This window comes from Homo sapiens, chromosome 1 (genome assembly GCF_000001405.40).
Source record: "Homo sapiens chromosome 1, GRCh38.p14 Primary Assembly".
In the NCBI taxonomy this organism is placed as follows: Eukaryota; Metazoa; Chordata; class Mammalia; order Primates; family Hominidae; genus Homo; species Homo sapiens.
The window spans coordinates 24,956,429-24,973,732 of NC_000001.11; the positions used below are offsets into that span (position 1 = coordinate 24,956,429).

Consider the following 17,304-nt stretch of genomic DNA (forward strand, 5'->3'; position numbering starts at 1 on the left):
TAGTCTTTTTTCTGAGGTGGCTTTGCTCTCAGAGGTGGCTTTCTCTCCCCCTGGGAAGGGATATAGCTGCTCTGTAGGAGATGTGGGGGCACCAGGCTCTCTCCATGGGCTCTTTATCACTTCTGACTTGGAGGTCCTTTCTCCACCCCCCCTGGACCTAGCACCTCTTCCCGAGACACAGGGGTGCGAAGAGCTGGGGGAGGTACGTCAGCAGGCCTCCCCTCCTGCCCCTGCTTACCCCACGGAGGTGGGGTGGGACAGAACTCAGGCTTGAGGAAGGAGCACTGGAGGCCAAGCCACAGGTGCTGGTCCTCAGCCCTGGTGCCCAGGCAAGTTGGGTTTGGGAATAGGGGCATGACCAAAATGGACCCCTCCTTTCCTCCCCACCCCTTTCCACTCCATCCGCCTTTCCCTTTGCGTTCTCCAAGCGTTCCGTCCCCCAGATGCCCTCTGTTTCCTCTGCTCCAGCCTTTTAACTCCTCTCAACAAAGGCCAAGGAATCAGGCAGACTGTGGACACTCAGGTGTGCATGATGGGAAGGGACCTGCATTTACAAAAGCTCCCCCCCACAGGGACTGCATGTGCTGGTGGAATCTCAGTCACCATGTCCCACGTTGAAGGATGTTTGGAGGGGGCTGACTTTGGTCACCCTTCAAATCATAAGTTATATGCGTCTGCCCTTTCCGCCCACACGTAAGTCTGAACCTTTTGCCAAAAACACTTTTCCCAGACTCGAAAGAAAACCCCAAAGAGGAACCTAAACCTTCACGCTGCCTGCACCGATTGGACCGGAGTGCTCAGGCTCGCGCCAACAAGTGTTTCAAAGAAGAAGCCAGACAGTGAAGGGGGAAGTGAGGGAGAAGCTGGAAAACTCTCAGGCTGACCAATCGTCAGCCCATTCATTCGTTCATCCATCCATCCATCCATCCATCCATCCATCCATCCATCCATCCATTCTTTCTTTCTTTCCTCTATCCATTCAGTGAGAAGGGCTGAATATCACCTGTGAGCCTGCCCCTGCTCCCAAGAACACCCTTTGGACACCTGTGGGGTGAGTAGTGAGGGGCAGCAATGGCAGAGCACCCCCACCGCCTGGAGGGGAGAAAGGGAAGGGCTGGGAAGGCTCCCCAAGGGGGCGGCCATGAAGCTGGGCCTTGAGAAGACAGGCCAGGGTTTCTCACCTTCCACATCCTGCTTAGAGTCAGACAGAAGGCTTTTGCAGAGGAGGAGGAACATTAAATAGTAGTAATTTCTGGCATTCCATGAGGGCTTGTCTGTGCCGGGCCCTGTGCTGTGCACGTGATACACACTACCTCATTAAACCTACCCAACATGCCTTGAGGGGGTGCTATTCATTTTCTCCATTTTACAGGTAAGAAAATGAAACACAGAGAGGTGAGGCACCTCTCCCAACGCCACACAGCGAGGAAGTGGCAGAGCCTGGCTGCAGCTGAGGCTTATAGCCGCATTTTACATTGCTTTCTCTCCGAAGAGTGCCTTCCTTTATCCCTGGGAGCCATTGACAAGGGGTCTGACAGTCCCTCTAGTCTTGTGCCTGCTCAGCCCTCTCTAGCCCTGAAAAAACCAGGGCTTGGCGCTGGAGAAAGAGCAGGAGGGTGAGATGTGGAAACATCTGTTGAGTGGCAGGGGATCACGCTGGCGCAGAGGGGCCCGAGCCGATCAGGAGGCCGGCCTGTGCCAGGCCAGTGCTCCCTGTGTACCAGGTGCCACATGCGGGGCTCAGGGTAGGGCCACAGTTGCTCCTCCCAACCACCCTTTGAGGTCAGTGTTACTAGCCCATTTTACAGAGGAGGAAACTGAGACCTTAAGAGGTGAATTAACATGTCAGGTCACCCAGCTACCATGCAGTTTAAGCCTAGATTGTTCTGACTCCTAAACTGTGTGCAAGGCGGATGATTGGACCCCAGGGAGGCAAGGAAAGTCAGTTTTCCTGCTGCTGAATTCAATGTTTTACAAGACCACACACCTCTTTAGACCTCAGTTTCGTCATGTATGAAATGAGGAGGGGAACTCTCTGCCTCCGGGCTCTGATATGCTCCTGGACTGATTCACTGTTCCTTGTTCTTGTGACTTCTCAAAGCAAGACCAGAGTCCCACTCCCAGCCCTAGGCCCGAGATTCCCATCCCCACTGTGTCCAGGGGCTTCAGGAGGTGCTATTTTAGGGCAGATGGCAAAGGCCTGGGCTGTAGATCCACTGAGGGCTAAAGGCAATCTTTCTTCCCTCCACCCCTCCCTTCCTTCCTTCCTTCTCTTTACTTCCACTAAGCAAGGTAGGGAACTACTCGCTGAGTCTCAGGGCAGGCCCACGGACTGAAGCTCAGGAGGACAGGGCTCCCCAGTGGCTGCAGGTGTCCCAGCACTGACTCCTAGCAGAGGGGGTGTTTGGGTTCAGTCTGGAAGATTGGGTGAGATTCCCCAACTACGGGGGGTGGGGGCACACTCTGGGTGGCAGATTTGAGGAAGAGTCTGCAGATAAGGCATCCCCAGGAGATGGCAATAAGAGCTGGTGTTGGGGCTGCCCCACTGAACCCAGAGCCCAGGCCTGTTTCCCCACCCATGGAGGAGTCCGGACTGGCTCAGTGGCAAGGCCGGGGTCAGAGGCTGCCACTCTCCTCCTGCCTCTCACAGCCCGCTGGAAGGTCAGGTTTTCAGGCTCTGCTTATCCGTCTCCCGGCCTCCTCCCTCCAGGTAACCGAGGGAGCCTCCGCTTTGATGCGGCCACCTCCAGGCCCAGGCGTCAATGAGCCCTCTATATGACCAGTGGGGCTGCTGGGGGCCTCCAGCCCGCCAGAGTGGGTGCGGTGAGGCCTGGACACACAGTCCCGCTGTGTGGGGTCGGCTCATGCCTGCCTAGACCCTGTGGGCAGTGGGGGGCTCCTAGGAATGCTTTTCCAGCCTGGGGGGCACTTTGGACAGGCAGGGTGGTCTGGGGAGACGGGTGTGTGCAGGGCAGCCTCAGAAGCCGCCATCAAAGGGACCTAGCAGACGTGGCGCCAGGCAAGCGCCATAGTGGGCACGGAAGGGCTGGCGGTCAGTCTGTTCCTCTCCCAGGGATGGCGGGGAGGGGGAGGCCCCATGGACACATGTGCTCAGGGTGACCAGCCATCAGGGGTTGCCTGGGATGAAGGGGTTTCCTGGGACGTGGAGCTTTCAGTGCTAAAACAGAGAGTCCCCTGTTATTGGAACTTCCTGGACCTTCGGAAAGGATACAGTGACTGACCTCTCTGGTCTGGGCAGCCTCCTCCCTGTCCGGTGACCTCTGAGTCAGACCATCTCGGCCAGACCTGCCCAGGGCCATTTTGTCCACCCCCTGCCTCCACACAGGCCTGCCTCATACCCAAGAGTCCACTTTCCATTTCTCCCAGGCATCTTCAGGGGAGGAGCTGCCGGCCAACTCCAACCACTGCTAGGGGGACCTCGGCCAGACCCACACCACGCTCCCAGCCCTCCCTGTGGCTCCCGAGCCAGCTCATACTTTCCTGCTTCCACACCTTTGCCCAGGACGTTCCTTCTGCCTGGAACATCCTTTCCCTGTCTTTGTTACCTCTTTACCCTTAGGGACCCAGTTTCCAAGTCACTCCTCCAGAGGACTTGTTCTCTCTTTCCCAAGGCTGGGCTAGTACCCCTCTTTGAACTCACAGCCCTGGTTCTTCTCCCAAAAAACCTTTGTCACGCCCCAGGGCAATTTTCTGTTGACCCATCTTTTTCTACACCAGATGGTGAGCTCTTAGGATGGAGATCCTGACCCAGTTTCCCCCGGGCTCCCAGTACAAGGCCATGCTCATGGTGTTCATCAAATGGAAAATGCTTATTGAGCAACTACTCTGTGCCAGGCATCATGCTCCTTTAATTCTCTCCATAGCTCTGCAAGGTTGGTGTAACCCCTACAGATGAGGAAACCAGAGACAGAGAAGTGAAGTAACTCATGCAGGTGACGGCAGAGGGCAGAGTCAGGACTTGAACCTGGAGAGCCTGGCTCTAAAGCCCAAGCTGGAATCTCGATACTCTACACCTCGATAAGTTTTTGGGAAATGACTGACTAAACAGATGAACGCGTTTGCCCCCCCGCCGCCCCAGAGCCCCCTTAAAGCCTACATGTGGCAGTTTGGGCCCATTTCCTTGGCTTCCCTCCCTGGAGGGGCACCCACTGCCAGTGTCCCTGGTGAGTGTTTGCCTGTGGGGGTACAAGTGAGGGTTCAGCAAAGGTGACCTGGTGTGAGGGGGGGGTGCCCCAGGGGGTGCAGAGGAGGGCCTCATGAGGCAGATTCAGAATGAAGGTTCTGGCCCCCAGTGGAACCGTGCATGGGCAAGGGGTCCTCAGGGCCATTGGCCCATAATTGTCAGACGGGGAAACTGAGGCCCAGAGAGAGGAAGGGACTTGTCCTTAGTTACACAGAGTGTCTGGATCACAGCTCTTAGGTCTCAGCTTCCCCATTTGTCACACAGGGAGAATAAATCCCCCTTGTCCTGCCTGGGGGTAGACCCCAGGGGGCCCCTGTGCCCTCTCACACCTTCCATTCCAGCTTCTAGAATTCCACCATCCATGCACCAGCCCTGAGGGTAGGCGTTGCCCTCTTCTCACCTCCTGCTCACGCCTCTACTGCAGGATGGGAACCAAATGCCTCTCCACCCTTTTCCCACACCCCTTCTCTCCACAGTGAACTGAGGGGAGTTTCTGATCCCTTAGCTCAAAGTCAGAGAAACTGAGAGGGGAGGGCTGGGTGGGAGCCGTGGGAATGTCATGCACAAGCAGTCGGACTCTCCAGGGGTCTGGATCTCTCCCTTGCTGCCTTGAAGGCCCCTGCACAGGCTGTGGCACTGGCTGAGTACAGGTGCCTGAAGGCAGAGGCATGGATGGGATGCTTCATTCTCAGCCTGTTTTTGCCAGTGAAGACAAAAGGGAAGTCATCTTCCGTTGGTCTATGGGGACCCTGAGGTAGTAGGAGCTCGGTGATAATTCTAGGGACCACCCTGGGTTGTCAGGTGGGGGAGACAGAGAAGCCCACATAGGAGGCACCAAATGCAACTCACTCGTGCCCTTTTACTCATGAGAGAACACGGATCCAGAGATGTCAAGTGACTCAGACACAGTCTCACAGCACACAGGCGGCAGAGGCAGGTAGGGGACTGGGCTTCCCTGGCAGCAGTCCCCAAGCCTGCCTGAGAGGCACATCAGAATCGCTTTAGGGGATTTGCAAAACCACACCTGCCCAGGCCCAAACCCTAGAGATTCTGATTCCGCAGTCTGAGGTAGGAATGGAGAATCCTCCACAGCCTGAGGTAGGAACTGGGAATCCAGTGTTTAAAACTCTCTAGGGGCGGTGATTTCAGAAAACCTGCTGGCTCCATCACACTTTGCTCAGGGACTGAGATGGGATGGCATTTGGAAGACACAGGTAGGAGGAAGAGGAGGCAGTGGGGGGCACAGGGAGACCCTTCCCCTTCTGGTAAAAGCCTGTGGACGAGAGAACAGCCCGAGTAAGATTCTGAGAACCCGAGACCCGGATGGACCTGGAGTTTTTGTCTTGCGTATAATTTAGGGGGTCTGTGACACTGGGCTGGAGATAACCGTGTCTTTCCTTTCCCTGGCCTCTAGCTGAAATTTAGCATCATATTCCATGGCGATTTTCCACCAGTGGAAATCACAGGTGTTCTCTGGTATCACAGCGGGGTCAGGGATGACCTGAAATATTGTTCATGCTCATCACAACTGCATGGCCCACCGCGGGGTCTTGTCACTCAGTGAGTTCTTGAAGAGGCACAGACAAATGGAGTTCAACAAATGGAAAACGTGAGTCAATATGTCACCAGCTTGCTTTCTGAGTTTGACAATGGTATTTCCATCGATTTCTTTTCCTTTGTAATCCTTTGGATTTTGTCTTACGCGTTTAAAAACGCAACTCCGAGGAGGAACCTGAAGGTTCCCTGAGACTGCCAAGGGTCGGTGGGTTAGGGACCCTGTAGGGGGCAGCGTGGGGTTGGCACCCTGCAAATGGGACCCTGGGGCTGCGTCTCTTTGAGGAAGGAATTGGCAGCTGGAGCCCTGTAAGCCTCCAGGGATGGGATTTGGGAGACAGGCCCCCATGGCGAGCACGTCGTGAGCAGAAATGAACAGGAGAGAGAAGGCTGAAGAGGGGAGACAGGTCTCCACAAAAGTGGAGGGAAGGCCCTCGGGCCACAGACCCCAGATCCAAACATCTCCACAGACCCTAGCCTATGAGGCGCCTTCTGTGCCACTGCTGGCCAGGATCAGCCCGCTCTGCCCAGCGGCCTCCTGTCTCTGGGCGCATACATGACATGTTGGGCCAAAGCCACCTCTCCCTTTGTGCCCTTTGTGCTACTGCCAGCCACCTCCCAGGCTCCGAGGATCAGGACCCAGCCCAGGCCGACCGGGGCTCTAGCCCTGTCTCCCAAGGTTCCTTTGTTTTAAACCCTACATTTCTCCATCTTGCGCACGGAAGGAGAAATACAGATTACAAAGACCCGGCAAATGGATTTTATAAACTCTTATTTTCTTGCCACAGAACTGCCTTTAATTAGCTCCGAGGACTACAAAGGGAACAACGTTATAATAGCAGCAACTCCAAGGAAGCAGCCACAGCTCTCAGCTCTCAGACCTGGGGCTGCCGCTCATCATCAGCTACAGCTAGGTTTGATGGGAGTGCCCCCATTTCAGGGGACAGCAGGCCCCCTTCACTCCCCGACTCAGTCCCCATCTGCAGCAGCACAGCCTTCCTTGGCCTCACCAGGGAAGAAGAACAGGCCCCGCTCTCAGACAAGCCTTCCCAGAAGCCTGAGGACTCAAACACCCAAATGTGTCTGGGTCCCTGCCCCGAGCCGGCCACCCAGGCAGCAGCCCTGAATCACTCGGTCAGCCAGCGGCAGGGCAGGCCAATGGGCTGGAGGGTAGGCAGGCAGGCAGACCCACCTCTGCATCTCTGCTGACTGCCTCGGCTGAGGAAAGGCAGCACCAGCCCCCAACCCTGAAGTTCTAGATCTCATGCAGCCTCTCTGTTCTGGAACCATCCAGAGGCACTGCCCTTATACATGGTCCACCCCCAGGCTCAGACAATGAGAATTCCACAAGCAGAGGGGACTCTATTTGGGGCACAGAGAGGTTAAGTAACTCCCCTCCTAAGGTCTCTCAGCAAGGAAGCCACTGAGCCGTGGGACTTGAGCTCAGGGACTCTTGATCCCCAGTCTCAGGTGTCACAGCCCCATCTGGGCTCCTGCTAGGGAGGAGGAAGGCAGCAGGGGGTGTCTGAGGCCAGGGTGCATCAGCCCTAAATGCCAGACAGAGGCAGGAGAAGTCTCCCCATGAGTCCCAGCCCCATTAGAGGCTCCAGGTCGGGGATCCCAGACCCCCTATCCTTGCTGGGAGACACAACCCAGAACTCTGCATCCCTGCAGCCACCAAAAAAGGCAAAAGCTGCCCAGAAACACTTTCTCCTCTTCCGTGGCCAAATCCACGAACTTTCTCGAGGTCTGTCCCCCTGCCCCGTGCAGGTCCAGCTTCAGTGCAGCCCAGCTCTGTGCAGTTTTCCACAAAAGCCTGTGGCTTCCTTCTCCTCCCTCTGCTTCTGATACCCCAGGAGTTACACACAAAATGTTGGCGGTGGTCTCCAGGAAGACCCCTGCATCCCACAGCTCTCCCCAGAAGTTGCCAGCAGTGACCTCCTGAGCCCAGGTGGGGAGTCCCAGGCAGGACAGGGGCTGGGGCTGCAGGCCCTGGGGCCCTGTTAGTGAAGCAGCAAGCCGAGGGTCCCTGAGAGTTTCCCTTGGCCCCTCTGAGGGCTGCCCTTTGAGGTCTTGAGGTCTTGGAGTATCCATCGCCCCCACGGCTTACTGTCCCCACCAGCGGAGGATGAAAGTGCCACAGCGATGTTCCACGCCAAGAGACCACAGAGACCACCAACCCCTCTTCCCACCTCAGGCTTTCAGAGGCCAGCGGATTTAGGCGGACAGGCTGTGCGCTTGAGGGCAGCCAGGGCGGTCAGTGGAGGGACGTGGTCCGGGGCCTGGCCACAGCTCCCCACCCAGGGCCCTGGGCTATTGTTACTCACCGCGGATGAAGGTCGGCGAGTAGGTCGGGAAGGAGTCGAAGATGCTGTTCGATGCCATGCCCCGCTCTGAAGAAGGCGAGAATTTTCAGCCCTTCAGGGGGTTGGGTTGGGATTCACTTGGTTGGCTGTTGTTTTATTTTTTTTTCCTCTAGCTACTTTTGAAAATAAAAGGGGGGGGTGTTGCTTTTTGTTGTTTTTTGTTTTGTTTTTGTCTCTTTTTTCCCCCCTGCTGCTACGAAAAAGAAAAAAGGAAAGAACGCGAGAGTGTGTGTGAGTGAGAGAGAGAAAAAAATCCCCAAGGAAAGTAAGTTTCTGTTTGTACCCAAGAATTTGGATTCCCGGTCCCACAGGAATGTCTAGCCACAAATTCTCAACAGAAGCGTATGCAGAGTGTATCATTAGATGGCGGGAAGGGGCTTTCGGCAGCCAGGGTGGAGGAGCTCCGAAGCTGACAGAGCAGAGTGGGCCGCCTCCAGTGCCACGGGGAATGAATGAATGAGGCTTACCCTTGACAGAGCCCAGGCTCTGGTGGGTACGAGGGCGGCCGGGGGTGGGGAGCACCAGGAGCCAACCAGCTCCCGCGCAGGGCCCTGGAGGCGGCAAGGGCCTGGCCTTGTGGTTCTGTGGTTGAGGGACCAGGCCTTCCCAGTGTCAACCCAACCTCAGCTCACAGGATGCGAGAAGCCTGCTCGCGGCCTTGGCTCATTGGCTGGGCCGCGGTCACCTGGGCCGTGATGTCACGGCCTTTTAGAAGATCTTGTGGCTGCCTCTCTTTTTGGAAAAGAAAAAAAAAAAAAAGAAAGAGAGAGAGAGAGAGAAATAGAAAAGTGATGGCTTTTATTTGTGAGGCTGGCCTCAGCACGCGGCCCAAGAAACAGAACTGAAAGCGGTTGCAGTGGGCGTGGCCAGGAGGGTGGTTTGGCTCCTGGGTGGGAGACTCCTTCTTAATTAAGGCCAGCATTGGCCTGGGCGGGCTAGGAGCCCCGCGGGCCCCTCACCGAGTGCCCAGAGCCCGGATCCACCAGCGGCCGGAGAGCTCCCTGCCATGCCACCTCGCCCCTGGGCTGCGGCTGACTCCCTGCCATTGTCCACCACCATTGTTGCCAGGGAGAGGTGTCCACATGTGTGGCTGGGTGGCACCTCTGGGGCTTTTATGGGAGTTGGGACTAAGTACAACGGGAAACACATGAAGTGGCATTGCCAGCACTCACGCCTGGCCTCGGCCTGCCCACCGAGAAGGGCCTTCCTGTGGAAACCTGGTGGCCTGCCCGCACTGGGGGGCCCTCTGCAGGGCTGGGGGCTGAGTCCCCAGCATGTCATTCAGGGCCCTTTACTCCTCTTGTTGCCACCTGCGCATCCCCTTGGGGGTCTCTGCCCCAGCATGATGCTCGGGAGCTTCCCTGCCTCCGGGCCTTCGCTCATGCTGTTCCCCTCACCAGAAGCGCCCTTTGTGTCTTCATGTCCTTGAGGAGTCAAGGCCCAGAGAGGCTCAAAAGTAGAAAAGTCATGAAGACGATTGAACCCTATACTTGCATGTTCCCCAAAGTCATGTCAGGATGGGAGAGAGGGTGGAGAGTGGGGGAAAGGTGGCGGCTTTTACCATTTCCCTTGCAAGCTCTACTCTCCCATTTCACAGGCCAGGCTGCGAGGCCCAGGGTGGTGACGCCAGCTTGTCTAAGGTCATGTGGTATTCTGGAATGGGATTGGAACTTCAGCCTCTGACTCACCAGCCCCGACCTTGGGCATGACACCAGAGTGCCCTTCCATGCCCTTTAAATGAAGACTTCAGAAAGTCCCTCTGCAGCCTGGCCACCAACCCCTGGCCTCTCCCAGGGACCCCAGGCTTGGGGCTAGAACCTAGCACCAGCCTCTGACTCACAGTAGCCTCTGTAGGCCAACAAGGATGGGGTGGGGACATCCCTGGAAGAGGATGGGCTGGTCCAAGGTCCCAAAGAGACTTGTTTCTGCCCAAGGCACATGTGCAGAAGATGGCCTTGGAAACGCTCACTCAGCCTCATCTCAAGCCTCATGAAGATTCAGTCTTCTGTCCCTGAATGGTGGGTCAATTGGTGCTGAGGGTGGGGGTGGTGGGGACAAGAGTTCTAATTTGGCCAGAGAGGAAGCAGGTTTATGGTGACAGCCACAGAGCTCTAGAGTCAGATTTGGCTTCCAGCCCCAGCTCTGCTGAATCTGAGCAGCCAGACCCTGGGGAAAGTCACTTCCTTTCTCTGGGCCTCAGTTTTCTTCCCTGTAAAATGGGGATAACACCTTCTTCAAAGGGACAGGCACGGGGTGAGGGCATCATAAACATTGGTTTCCTTGGCTGAGCCTCCATGACGCAATTTGGGCTCCGTTATGAGTCAGCTCAAGTAAGGAGCTATGACAGTCATGCAGGGGGAGAGGCTGCCCCGCCCCCACCCTGTGTTGTAAACTCATCAGCTGGCCAGCCTGCATGGGACCCTCAGGGGTCAATGGCACAGGGGGGACCTGCCAAGGGGCCTTGACCTCCTGGTTGAATTTGATGCCTTTTGGAGTCAGCCATCTGTGAAATAGATTGGAGAATGACACAGCTGGGAAGACCCCCCCTTATACAGAAGCCGAAACTGCGGCCCCCAGAGGAGCAGAGACTCATCCAAGTTCACCCAATGAGTCAGTGGAACCCAAGCCCCTGCTTCCCAGCCCAGGAGCTGTTTCCATTCCACCAACACCGCCTCCAGTTTTGAACATACCACCCTACGTGCTTTGCTGTTTTTTCCACACCTAAGAGTGGGCCCCCCCCAAGCCCCTATAACTTGATCACCCTGAGGGGCTTCCCCCTCCCTGGGAACCTGAGTCCAGGCCCAGGAAGGGGAGGGAATTCAAGAGGCTGTGCACGGCCCAGTGATCCATCTGTGCACCGAGTAGTTCAATGCATTCTCGGGGCAATGTGGTGAATTGGAGCCAAGCTTGGTCCTTGCCGCTAAGGGGCTTATCATCTCTACATGCCCCCTCATAAGCATGTGCTAAGCTTTAAACAGCCCTGGGGAAGCTGCCAAGGGAAGCAGAAAGGACAAGGAGGCTGAAACCAGCCATACCTGAAGCCTGCTTTGTTTCTTATGAACTGTGAGATTCTGGGCAAGAGGCTTTACTCTTCTGAGCCTCGGTTTCCTCGCCTGTGAAATGGAGCCAACTGTAGTGCCCACCTCCCAAAGTCATAAAGAGGACTCAATGAGAAAATAATTGTGAGTGTGCTTGGCACATAGTAGGTGCTCAATTTCCAGGGACTCCCTTCCCTTGAAATTCTGATTGTGCATTCCCCTGTCGTGCAGTGGGCAGTCAGGCTTCCTCTTGTTCTCCACTGAAAAAAACTTAAATCAGGTTAATAAAAAAATATGGTTGAAGTAGGGAATCATAAGAAATATTATATAAAAATAAAAGGGAATCATAAAAATAGTATCTTAAACCCTTCTTTTAGCTTTAAACTTATAAATATGCATTAAATGGCCTTCCTCTTGTTCTTCTAGCTTAACAATTTCCAGTTTGGGTTTCTTTTTTCTTTTCTTTCTTTTTTTTTTTTTTTTTTAGAAACGGGGTCTTGCTCTGTTGCCCAGTCTAGAGTGCAGTGGTGCAATCATAGCTCACTGTAACCTTGAGCTCCTGGGCTCAAGCAATCCTCTCGCTTCAGCCTCCCAAGTAGCTAGGATTACAGGTGTGCACTACCACGCCCAGCTAATTTAAATTTTTTTTTCTGTAGAGTCAGGGTCTCACTATATTGCCCAGGCTGGTCTCGAAATCCTGGCTTCAGATGATCCTCTTGCCTCGGCCTCTCAAAGTGCTGGGATTACAAGTATGAGCCCCCATGCCTGGCGTAGTTTTGATTTCTTTAACGTGGAATATGAACGTAAAGATGCTAAGGAAAGAATGAGCATGTGGCATCATCTAGATTTTACTATTTCTTTCCATCCTTTACAATGTCCCACCCATACCAAATTCAATTTATTTTTTAGCAATTTGCCTTCATTGAATCTTCCCAATTTTCATAGAAGCAGAGGCTCCTGTTCGGCATCACACGATTGACCTCATGGCATTATCATCAGTCGGAGTCCAACCAGGAAAACAGGAGCCATATTGAGTCCTGGAAGTTAATTCAGGGAGTGTTAGCAACACAGGTGAGGGACAACCTGAGGAGCCAAACAGAGACAGTGAGGAGTCCCAGTGTGAGCATCAGTTCAGCCACTGACACCCTTTGGGTAAGAGGGACACGGAGAGAGGTGGGGTTACCAGGGCCCCCAGCAGAAGCAGGAACTTAGTGGGCCAGTCCGGCATTTGCTAGAGTCACAGAGGAGACTTAGCCACATGGAGACATCACCTGAGACAAAGAATAGAGGGGAGAAACACCCTGGCTTCTCCCTTGCTTTTGTTTTTCATCTTCTCTTGGTGCCTCCCATTGGTTGAATGTAGCGGGGACCAGCTGGCCAAGGAGCTCGGGGAATGCAGCCCGTGCCATCAAACCCTTGTGTGACAGAGCCAAACAGGGGAATGAGCAGAGCTGATCTGTGGGCAAACTGGCCCAGGACTGGCATAATCTCCAATGACGTTCTATAGCCATGCAAACCCAGCTGGCACCAACTGGTTGGGACACATTCCAACTCACGTCTGGTAAGCTGACGGTTCAGTGGCTGGTGGGAGGAGATGTGGCATTCCAGAGAAGGGCCTGCCAGCTGAGGGCATCCATTGGTATTTTATACGAGAAGTACAGGTGAATCCTGGGAGATACCCGGGGGTCAATTAAGAAGGTGTCTCCTGTGAATGGTGATGAAATTCATTTCCCTAACCTGTGTGCAGGGCTGAGGTTATGTCACCACGATGAGCACTGGATGCAGACCCTGCCTCTGAACGTTATGATTTCGATGACAGCACACCTCAAACCACCAGATCCTCCCAACAACCTACAGGACAGGGTGGCCCTCCTCACTTTTCAGAGGAGGAAAAAACTAATACAGGGATTAACCCCAAGATTTAGCCTCCAGGAGTCGCACTGCCAGCTTGGACCGGGCAGGTAGCAGATTCGAGGTGGACACTGGCCTTGGAGTTCAAATTCTGGCCTTTCATCAGCAGATCCTGGTGTGAGCCCAGGGAAGCTGCTGGAGCGATATCTGCCGTGGGCTGGGGGTGGGTGTGGGGGTGGGGCACTTCCCTTTCGAGGGCTAGCACAGAGACACTAAGATGCCGCCACTCAGCCAGATCAGCCCCTCTCCGGGGGTGGAGAATGGGGCCTGCAGAGCTGTGCAACCCACCCAGGACCAGAACACCCAGGCCAAGCCAAGGGATCATCAGCTGAGGACCTACCACCTGGGGCGCACATGCTGAGAGCTTTAGGCATGATCCCTCCAGGGGTGGGCTCTGAGGACGGCACCACGCGCCTAAGCAGTCTGATAGTCTCTGGGGGAGAGCCAGAGAGGTGGAGAGACCTGCCCAAGGTCCCCCAGCTTGCTGGTGGAGGAAGCAGGATTCAAACCCAGCCCGCCCTCCGCTTCTCTCTTTCCTGTTGTTTTGAAAAACTGCTCTCGGTGCCCACTTCAGAACGAGAACCACCAGTCCTCACCTCCTGCCTCGGGCCCTGCTCTTGGCCGAGCCTGGAGCTGCCACCCCATACAGCTGCTTCAGTGTCTCTTGTACCACAGGGGTGGTGGCACCGAGGACAAACTAAGGACTGTCTCCACCCGCAGCGTCTGCCTCGCCAGGGACCCCAAGAGCTCAACCTGCTGCCTCTCCTCCTGTCTGAAGTTCCCTTAGTGCATGTTCGGGTTTGAATACGTTTCAGTGAGAAGTCCCGCGTTTAAGAGGCAGATGGAATCGGGAGGAGGAGCAGCGTCGGCCTGGGGAGATTAGCTGACTGAGGGGGGAGAGCGCAGGCTGGGATGCATCCTGTTTCCCCAGGAATGGGCTCGCTGCCCCCTTCTGCCCAGTGTCATCTTTGCTTAAATAATGATCAGCAATGCTCCTCTCACCCCACAGCCACCTACGCACAAATGCCTCCTATGGGAGTTTCCAGAGCAAGCTGTTCGGGAGGCAGACAGGGTGGAGACGGCTCTCCCCAGCGTCCAGCCCAGGAACTGAGGCTCACCGGGGAAGGCCTCACATACGGTCACACGGTGAGTCAGAAGGATTCACCGGCAGGTCTGCTGCAGCCACATCCCGTCGTGTCCCCAGGATACCCCTCCACTCCCCGTGTCTCCCTAAAGTCCCTTCCAAGGGGGTGAAGGTGCTGAGGCCATAGAGTTGGATGGATGAGCCAGATTCAGATCCCAGCTCTGGCACCACCTAAGGGCGTGCTAGTGTCCGGGGCTATCAGAACCTCACTGTTCTCACCTGCAAAGTGGGAAAAATAAGCACCTGTCATCTCCTCAGGGGTGAAGGTGAAGAGGGACCTCCTGGGAAGAGCATGTGGTGGGCACTCGGCCAGGGTGAAGTCGTGTCTGTGTGTGTGAGTGTGTGTAGGGGTGTGTGTGAGCTTGTGTGTGTGCATGTGTGTGGGTGTGTATGTGTGTGTGAGTTCGTGTCTGCACGCACGTAGGTGTGAGCATGCATGAATGTGAGTGTGTGTGAGTGTGCATGTGTATGAGTGTGTGAACTCATGTATGTGTGCATGTGTGTGGGTGTGTATGTGTGAGTGTGAGCTCGTGTCTGTGTGCGCGTGTGTGTGAGACTGCATGTGTATGCATGCGTGTAGGGGAGTACAGGGCAGAGGTGCATGGTGGAAGGGGGCGCGTGTCTGACTCACCACTTTGCCAGGGCCTTAGCGCCCCCCAGCAGATTCCTGCCCTCCCACTCACTTCCTCCAAGGCCTGCTGTGAGGGGCACTGAGCTCCCGCGGTTTCTGGAGGCCGACCCAGCCAAGGGCTGCCTGAACCTGGGTACCAGACTGCAGGATGGGGTGCTGGAGAAGTCACTCGGCGTGACCTCCCTGAGATGCTGTTCAGCTCAGGGGCCTCTCTTGTGTTCCTTTGAGACCTGGAGTCTTGCCCATAAGATGCTTCCCTCCCTCAGAGTTCCAGGCCCCTCAGAGGAAGAAGAAAAATCCCAAACGACAGCCCTTTTGGCTCATAAAATGATCTTTCTCTGGGTCTTTGGGTGGAATAATCTATTTTTAGCATCAAAGGGTTCTGCCACGGGCTTAGACCTAGTAAGGGAAGGGCTTTGTGTGACCACAGCGTGGCTCAGAGGCGGGCACTCCTCAGCTAGGATGGGGCAGGAGGGCGCAAGGAAGGGAGCCCCACCCTCAGGGCAGGCAGAGCAGGGAGAGAGCCACCGAGAGCCCCACTCTCTGGATGCCTGGCCCAGGGCTCCTTCCCATTCCATTCAGTGAGCATCTGTTTGGGGCCAGGCCTTGTGCCCTCACCATTTCCTCTTAGTGCATTCTCGCTACAAACCTAGTAATACTAACAATAATCACAAGCTAGCACTTCTTTAGCACCTACCACAAGCTGGGGACTCGTCTAAGAACCTTGCATAAATCAACTTAATTCATTTAACACATAAGAAGACTGAGGTTCAGAGAGGTCAAATCACTTGCCCAAGTCCAGCTCAGAAGGGACAGAGCTGAGATTTGAACCCAGACAGTCTCTATTATTATTATTATTAGTCCCATTGACAGCAGAGGAAGCAGAGGCTTGGAGAAGCTGAAGGATTTGCTCAAAATAACCTAAAACAAACGTCGAATCAGGATCCGTGACAGGGCTGTCTGAGCCAGAGCCCTCTGAGCTCTCTCCAATCTCCCAGAGCCCTCTGAGCTCACTCGGATCTCCCAGAGCCCTCTGAGCTCTCTCCAGTCTCCAGGCTTCCATGGTGTGGTGCCTATGACCTCCATTGATTCTCCTAACAAATGATGCATATGTATGTGTGGAGGGGAAGTCCTCCTATCTTGCTCTTCCTCATATTACTGAGAAGGAAACAGGCTGAGAGAGGAAAAGGGACTTGCCTGGGCTTGCATAGGTAGGAAGTGGTAGATTCGGTGTCTGAATTCTGCTGGAATTCCCAAAGCCTTTGCTAGAAGCTGACATATCAACCCCCAGCTCCCACGCCGCTCCCAGTCCCTGCTGCTTTCCTTGAGGGACTGGGTCCCAGGGAATGTCAGGATTGGGTTGTAATTTTAAAAAATAATTTGATCTTCAGGGTTTTTCCCCCCTTCTCCCTCACTCTTTTTCTTTCTCTTTCAACAATAATGACCTTGTTTTCAGGGGTGTGCCGGCCAGCAAATTCGCTGACCCAGGCAAAAGGAGGGGGGATGTCATTATGTGGTTGGGAAATGGTGGGGCATTTTGTATGCCACCGACTTAGCATCCCAGGAATTTCAGCAGCCCTCAAGGAAATGACAGAATGAGTTCCCATCCAGGATTGTGGCTTCCCATCTCTCTCTGTGTGCATTTTCCTGACATTAAACTAGGATGCTTTGAGCATCTGCACATAACAGCGTGTGGGAAGAGGGTCTGCCTGGCGTGAGGAGAGAGCCCTGGCCAGTGAGGTTACAGGCCGAGGCTGACAGTTGGAGGACTCAGGCTCAGAGAGGGGCAGGAACTTGTCCTGGGCCACACAGCCAAGGCCAAGATCTGCATCACCCGACTCTTGGTCCAGTGCTCTTTCTACAATGTCACGTTCTGGGAGTAACCTGCTGTGTGCACACAGAAAAGTTCTTTTCTCTCTCTGCATCATTTTCCTCATCTGGGAAAGGAGGATTGAGATCGGTGTCTTAGTTTGGGTTCCCCCACAGGCAGACCCTGAGTCTAAACAGTTTATCTGGGGGGTGATCCCAGGAAGCAGGGGTGAGGGAGAGGGGCAAGTGATGAGTGACATAGGGAAGGGAAGGCAGCCCATACAGGGTGCAGGGTGGGGTGGCTTACCGTCCTGGATATCTGGAGCTCAACCCCACCAGGGACGTTCAGAGGGACTGTGTGGAGTGCAGTACAGAGCTGCTCCCCTGGGGCGTGGGAGCTGGGGTATGTATCCACTGGCTCCCAGGTCTCATTGGTCGAGGGTTGCTCTGGCAATAATGACTCTCGGCAATTCTTGCATCACCACTGAGTAAAGCTCACTCAAAGCCAGAAAACATCTTCAGGCCAACCTGTCCTTATGGGGAGGTGTCAGTTTAGGGCATATGATTTATCTTTTATTTTTTGAAATAAAAATAAATAAATAAAAATTTAAAATAAATTATTATTTTTTTTAATTTTTAAAATTAAA

At 54.7% G+C, this 17,304-nt stretch overlaps 1 protein-coding gene and 1 long non-coding RNA gene across 8 annotated transcripts in view, besides 11 other annotated features; one reads left to right on the forward strand and one right to left on the reverse strand.

Moving 5' to 3' along the window:
- Positions 1 to 8,280, forward strand: part of RUNX3-AS1 (RUNX3 antisense RNA 1) — a 34,252-nt gene extending 25,972 nt beyond the window's left edge. The window contains exons 3-6 of one of the 3 annotated variants that reach the window (NR_183339.1): positions 984 to 1,051; positions 3,885 to 4,184; positions 5,619 to 5,813; positions 6,547 to 8,280. This is a non-coding gene — a long non-coding RNA (RUNX3 antisense RNA 1). The remainder of the gene's footprint in view (positions 1 to 983; positions 1,052 to 3,884; positions 4,185 to 5,618; positions 5,814 to 6,546) is intronic. The other 2 variants (NR_183341.1, NR_183340.1) reach the window with 2 other exon arrangements.
- The window catches only part of RUNX3 (RUNX family transcription factor 3), a 65,628-nt gene extending 56,918 nt beyond the window's left edge, over positions 1 to 8,710 (reverse strand). For 2 of the 5 annotated variants that reach the window (XM_011542351.2, NM_001031680.2), the window contains exon 1: positions 8,086 to 8,582. In XM_011542351.2, the coding sequence (XP_011540653.1) occupies positions 8,086 to 8,143 (58 nt within the window). In that variant the 5' untranslated portion in view covers positions 8,144 to 8,582. The other 3 variants (XM_005246024.5, XM_047433131.1, NM_001320672.1) reach the window with 3 other exon arrangements.
- Positions 1,513 to 1,562: an enhancer, noted in NCBI's record as "active region_419". NCBI's record gives its function as "activates an Ori minimal core promoter by ATAC-STARR-seq in GM12878 lymphoblastoid cells {active_cell/tissue: GM12878}" and the evidence as "EXISTENCE:reporter gene assay evidence [ECO:0000049][PMID:35858748]".
- Positions 2,083 to 2,152: an enhancer, noted in NCBI's record as "active region_420". NCBI's record gives its function as "activates an Ori minimal core promoter by ATAC-STARR-seq in GM12878 lymphoblastoid cells {active_cell/tissue: GM12878}" and the evidence as "EXISTENCE:reporter gene assay evidence [ECO:0000049][PMID:35858748]".
- Positions 2,453 to 2,642: an enhancer, noted in NCBI's record as "active region_421". NCBI's record gives its function as "activates an Ori minimal core promoter by ATAC-STARR-seq in GM12878 lymphoblastoid cells {active_cell/tissue: GM12878}" and the evidence as "EXISTENCE:reporter gene assay evidence [ECO:0000049][PMID:35858748]".
- Positions 5,093 to 5,172: a silencer, noted in NCBI's record as "silent region_447". NCBI's record gives its function as "represses an Ori minimal core promoter by ATAC-STARR-seq in GM12878 lymphoblastoid cells {active_cell/tissue: GM12878}" and the evidence as "EXISTENCE:reporter gene assay evidence [ECO:0000049][PMID:35858748]".
- Positions 6,759 to 6,888: an enhancer, noted in NCBI's record as "active region_422". NCBI's record gives its function as "activates an Ori minimal core promoter by ATAC-STARR-seq in GM12878 lymphoblastoid cells {active_cell/tissue: GM12878}" and the evidence as "EXISTENCE:reporter gene assay evidence [ECO:0000049][PMID:35858748]".
- Positions 7,089 to 7,148: an enhancer, noted in NCBI's record as "active region_423". NCBI's record gives its function as "activates an Ori minimal core promoter by ATAC-STARR-seq in GM12878 lymphoblastoid cells {active_cell/tissue: GM12878}" and the evidence as "EXISTENCE:reporter gene assay evidence [ECO:0000049][PMID:35858748]".
- Positions 8,550 to 8,749: a silencer, noted in NCBI's record as "silent region_448". NCBI's record gives its function as "represses an Ori minimal core promoter by ATAC-STARR-seq in GM12878 lymphoblastoid cells {active_cell/tissue: GM12878}" and the evidence as "EXISTENCE:reporter gene assay evidence [ECO:0000049][PMID:35858748]".
- Positions 8,820 to 8,929: an enhancer, noted in NCBI's record as "active region_424". NCBI's record gives its function as "activates an Ori minimal core promoter by ATAC-STARR-seq in GM12878 lymphoblastoid cells {active_cell/tissue: GM12878}" and the evidence as "EXISTENCE:reporter gene assay evidence [ECO:0000049][PMID:35858748]".
- Positions 9,290 to 9,389: an enhancer, noted in NCBI's record as "active region_425". NCBI's record gives its function as "activates an Ori minimal core promoter by ATAC-STARR-seq in GM12878 lymphoblastoid cells {active_cell/tissue: GM12878}" and the evidence as "EXISTENCE:reporter gene assay evidence [ECO:0000049][PMID:35858748]".
- Positions 10,200 to 10,249: an enhancer, noted in NCBI's record as "active region_426". NCBI's record gives its function as "activates an Ori minimal core promoter by ATAC-STARR-seq in GM12878 lymphoblastoid cells {active_cell/tissue: GM12878}" and the evidence as "EXISTENCE:reporter gene assay evidence [ECO:0000049][PMID:35858748]".
- Positions 10,300 to 10,419: an enhancer, noted in NCBI's record as "active region_427". NCBI's record gives its function as "activates an Ori minimal core promoter by ATAC-STARR-seq in GM12878 lymphoblastoid cells {active_cell/tissue: GM12878}" and the evidence as "EXISTENCE:reporter gene assay evidence [ECO:0000049][PMID:35858748]".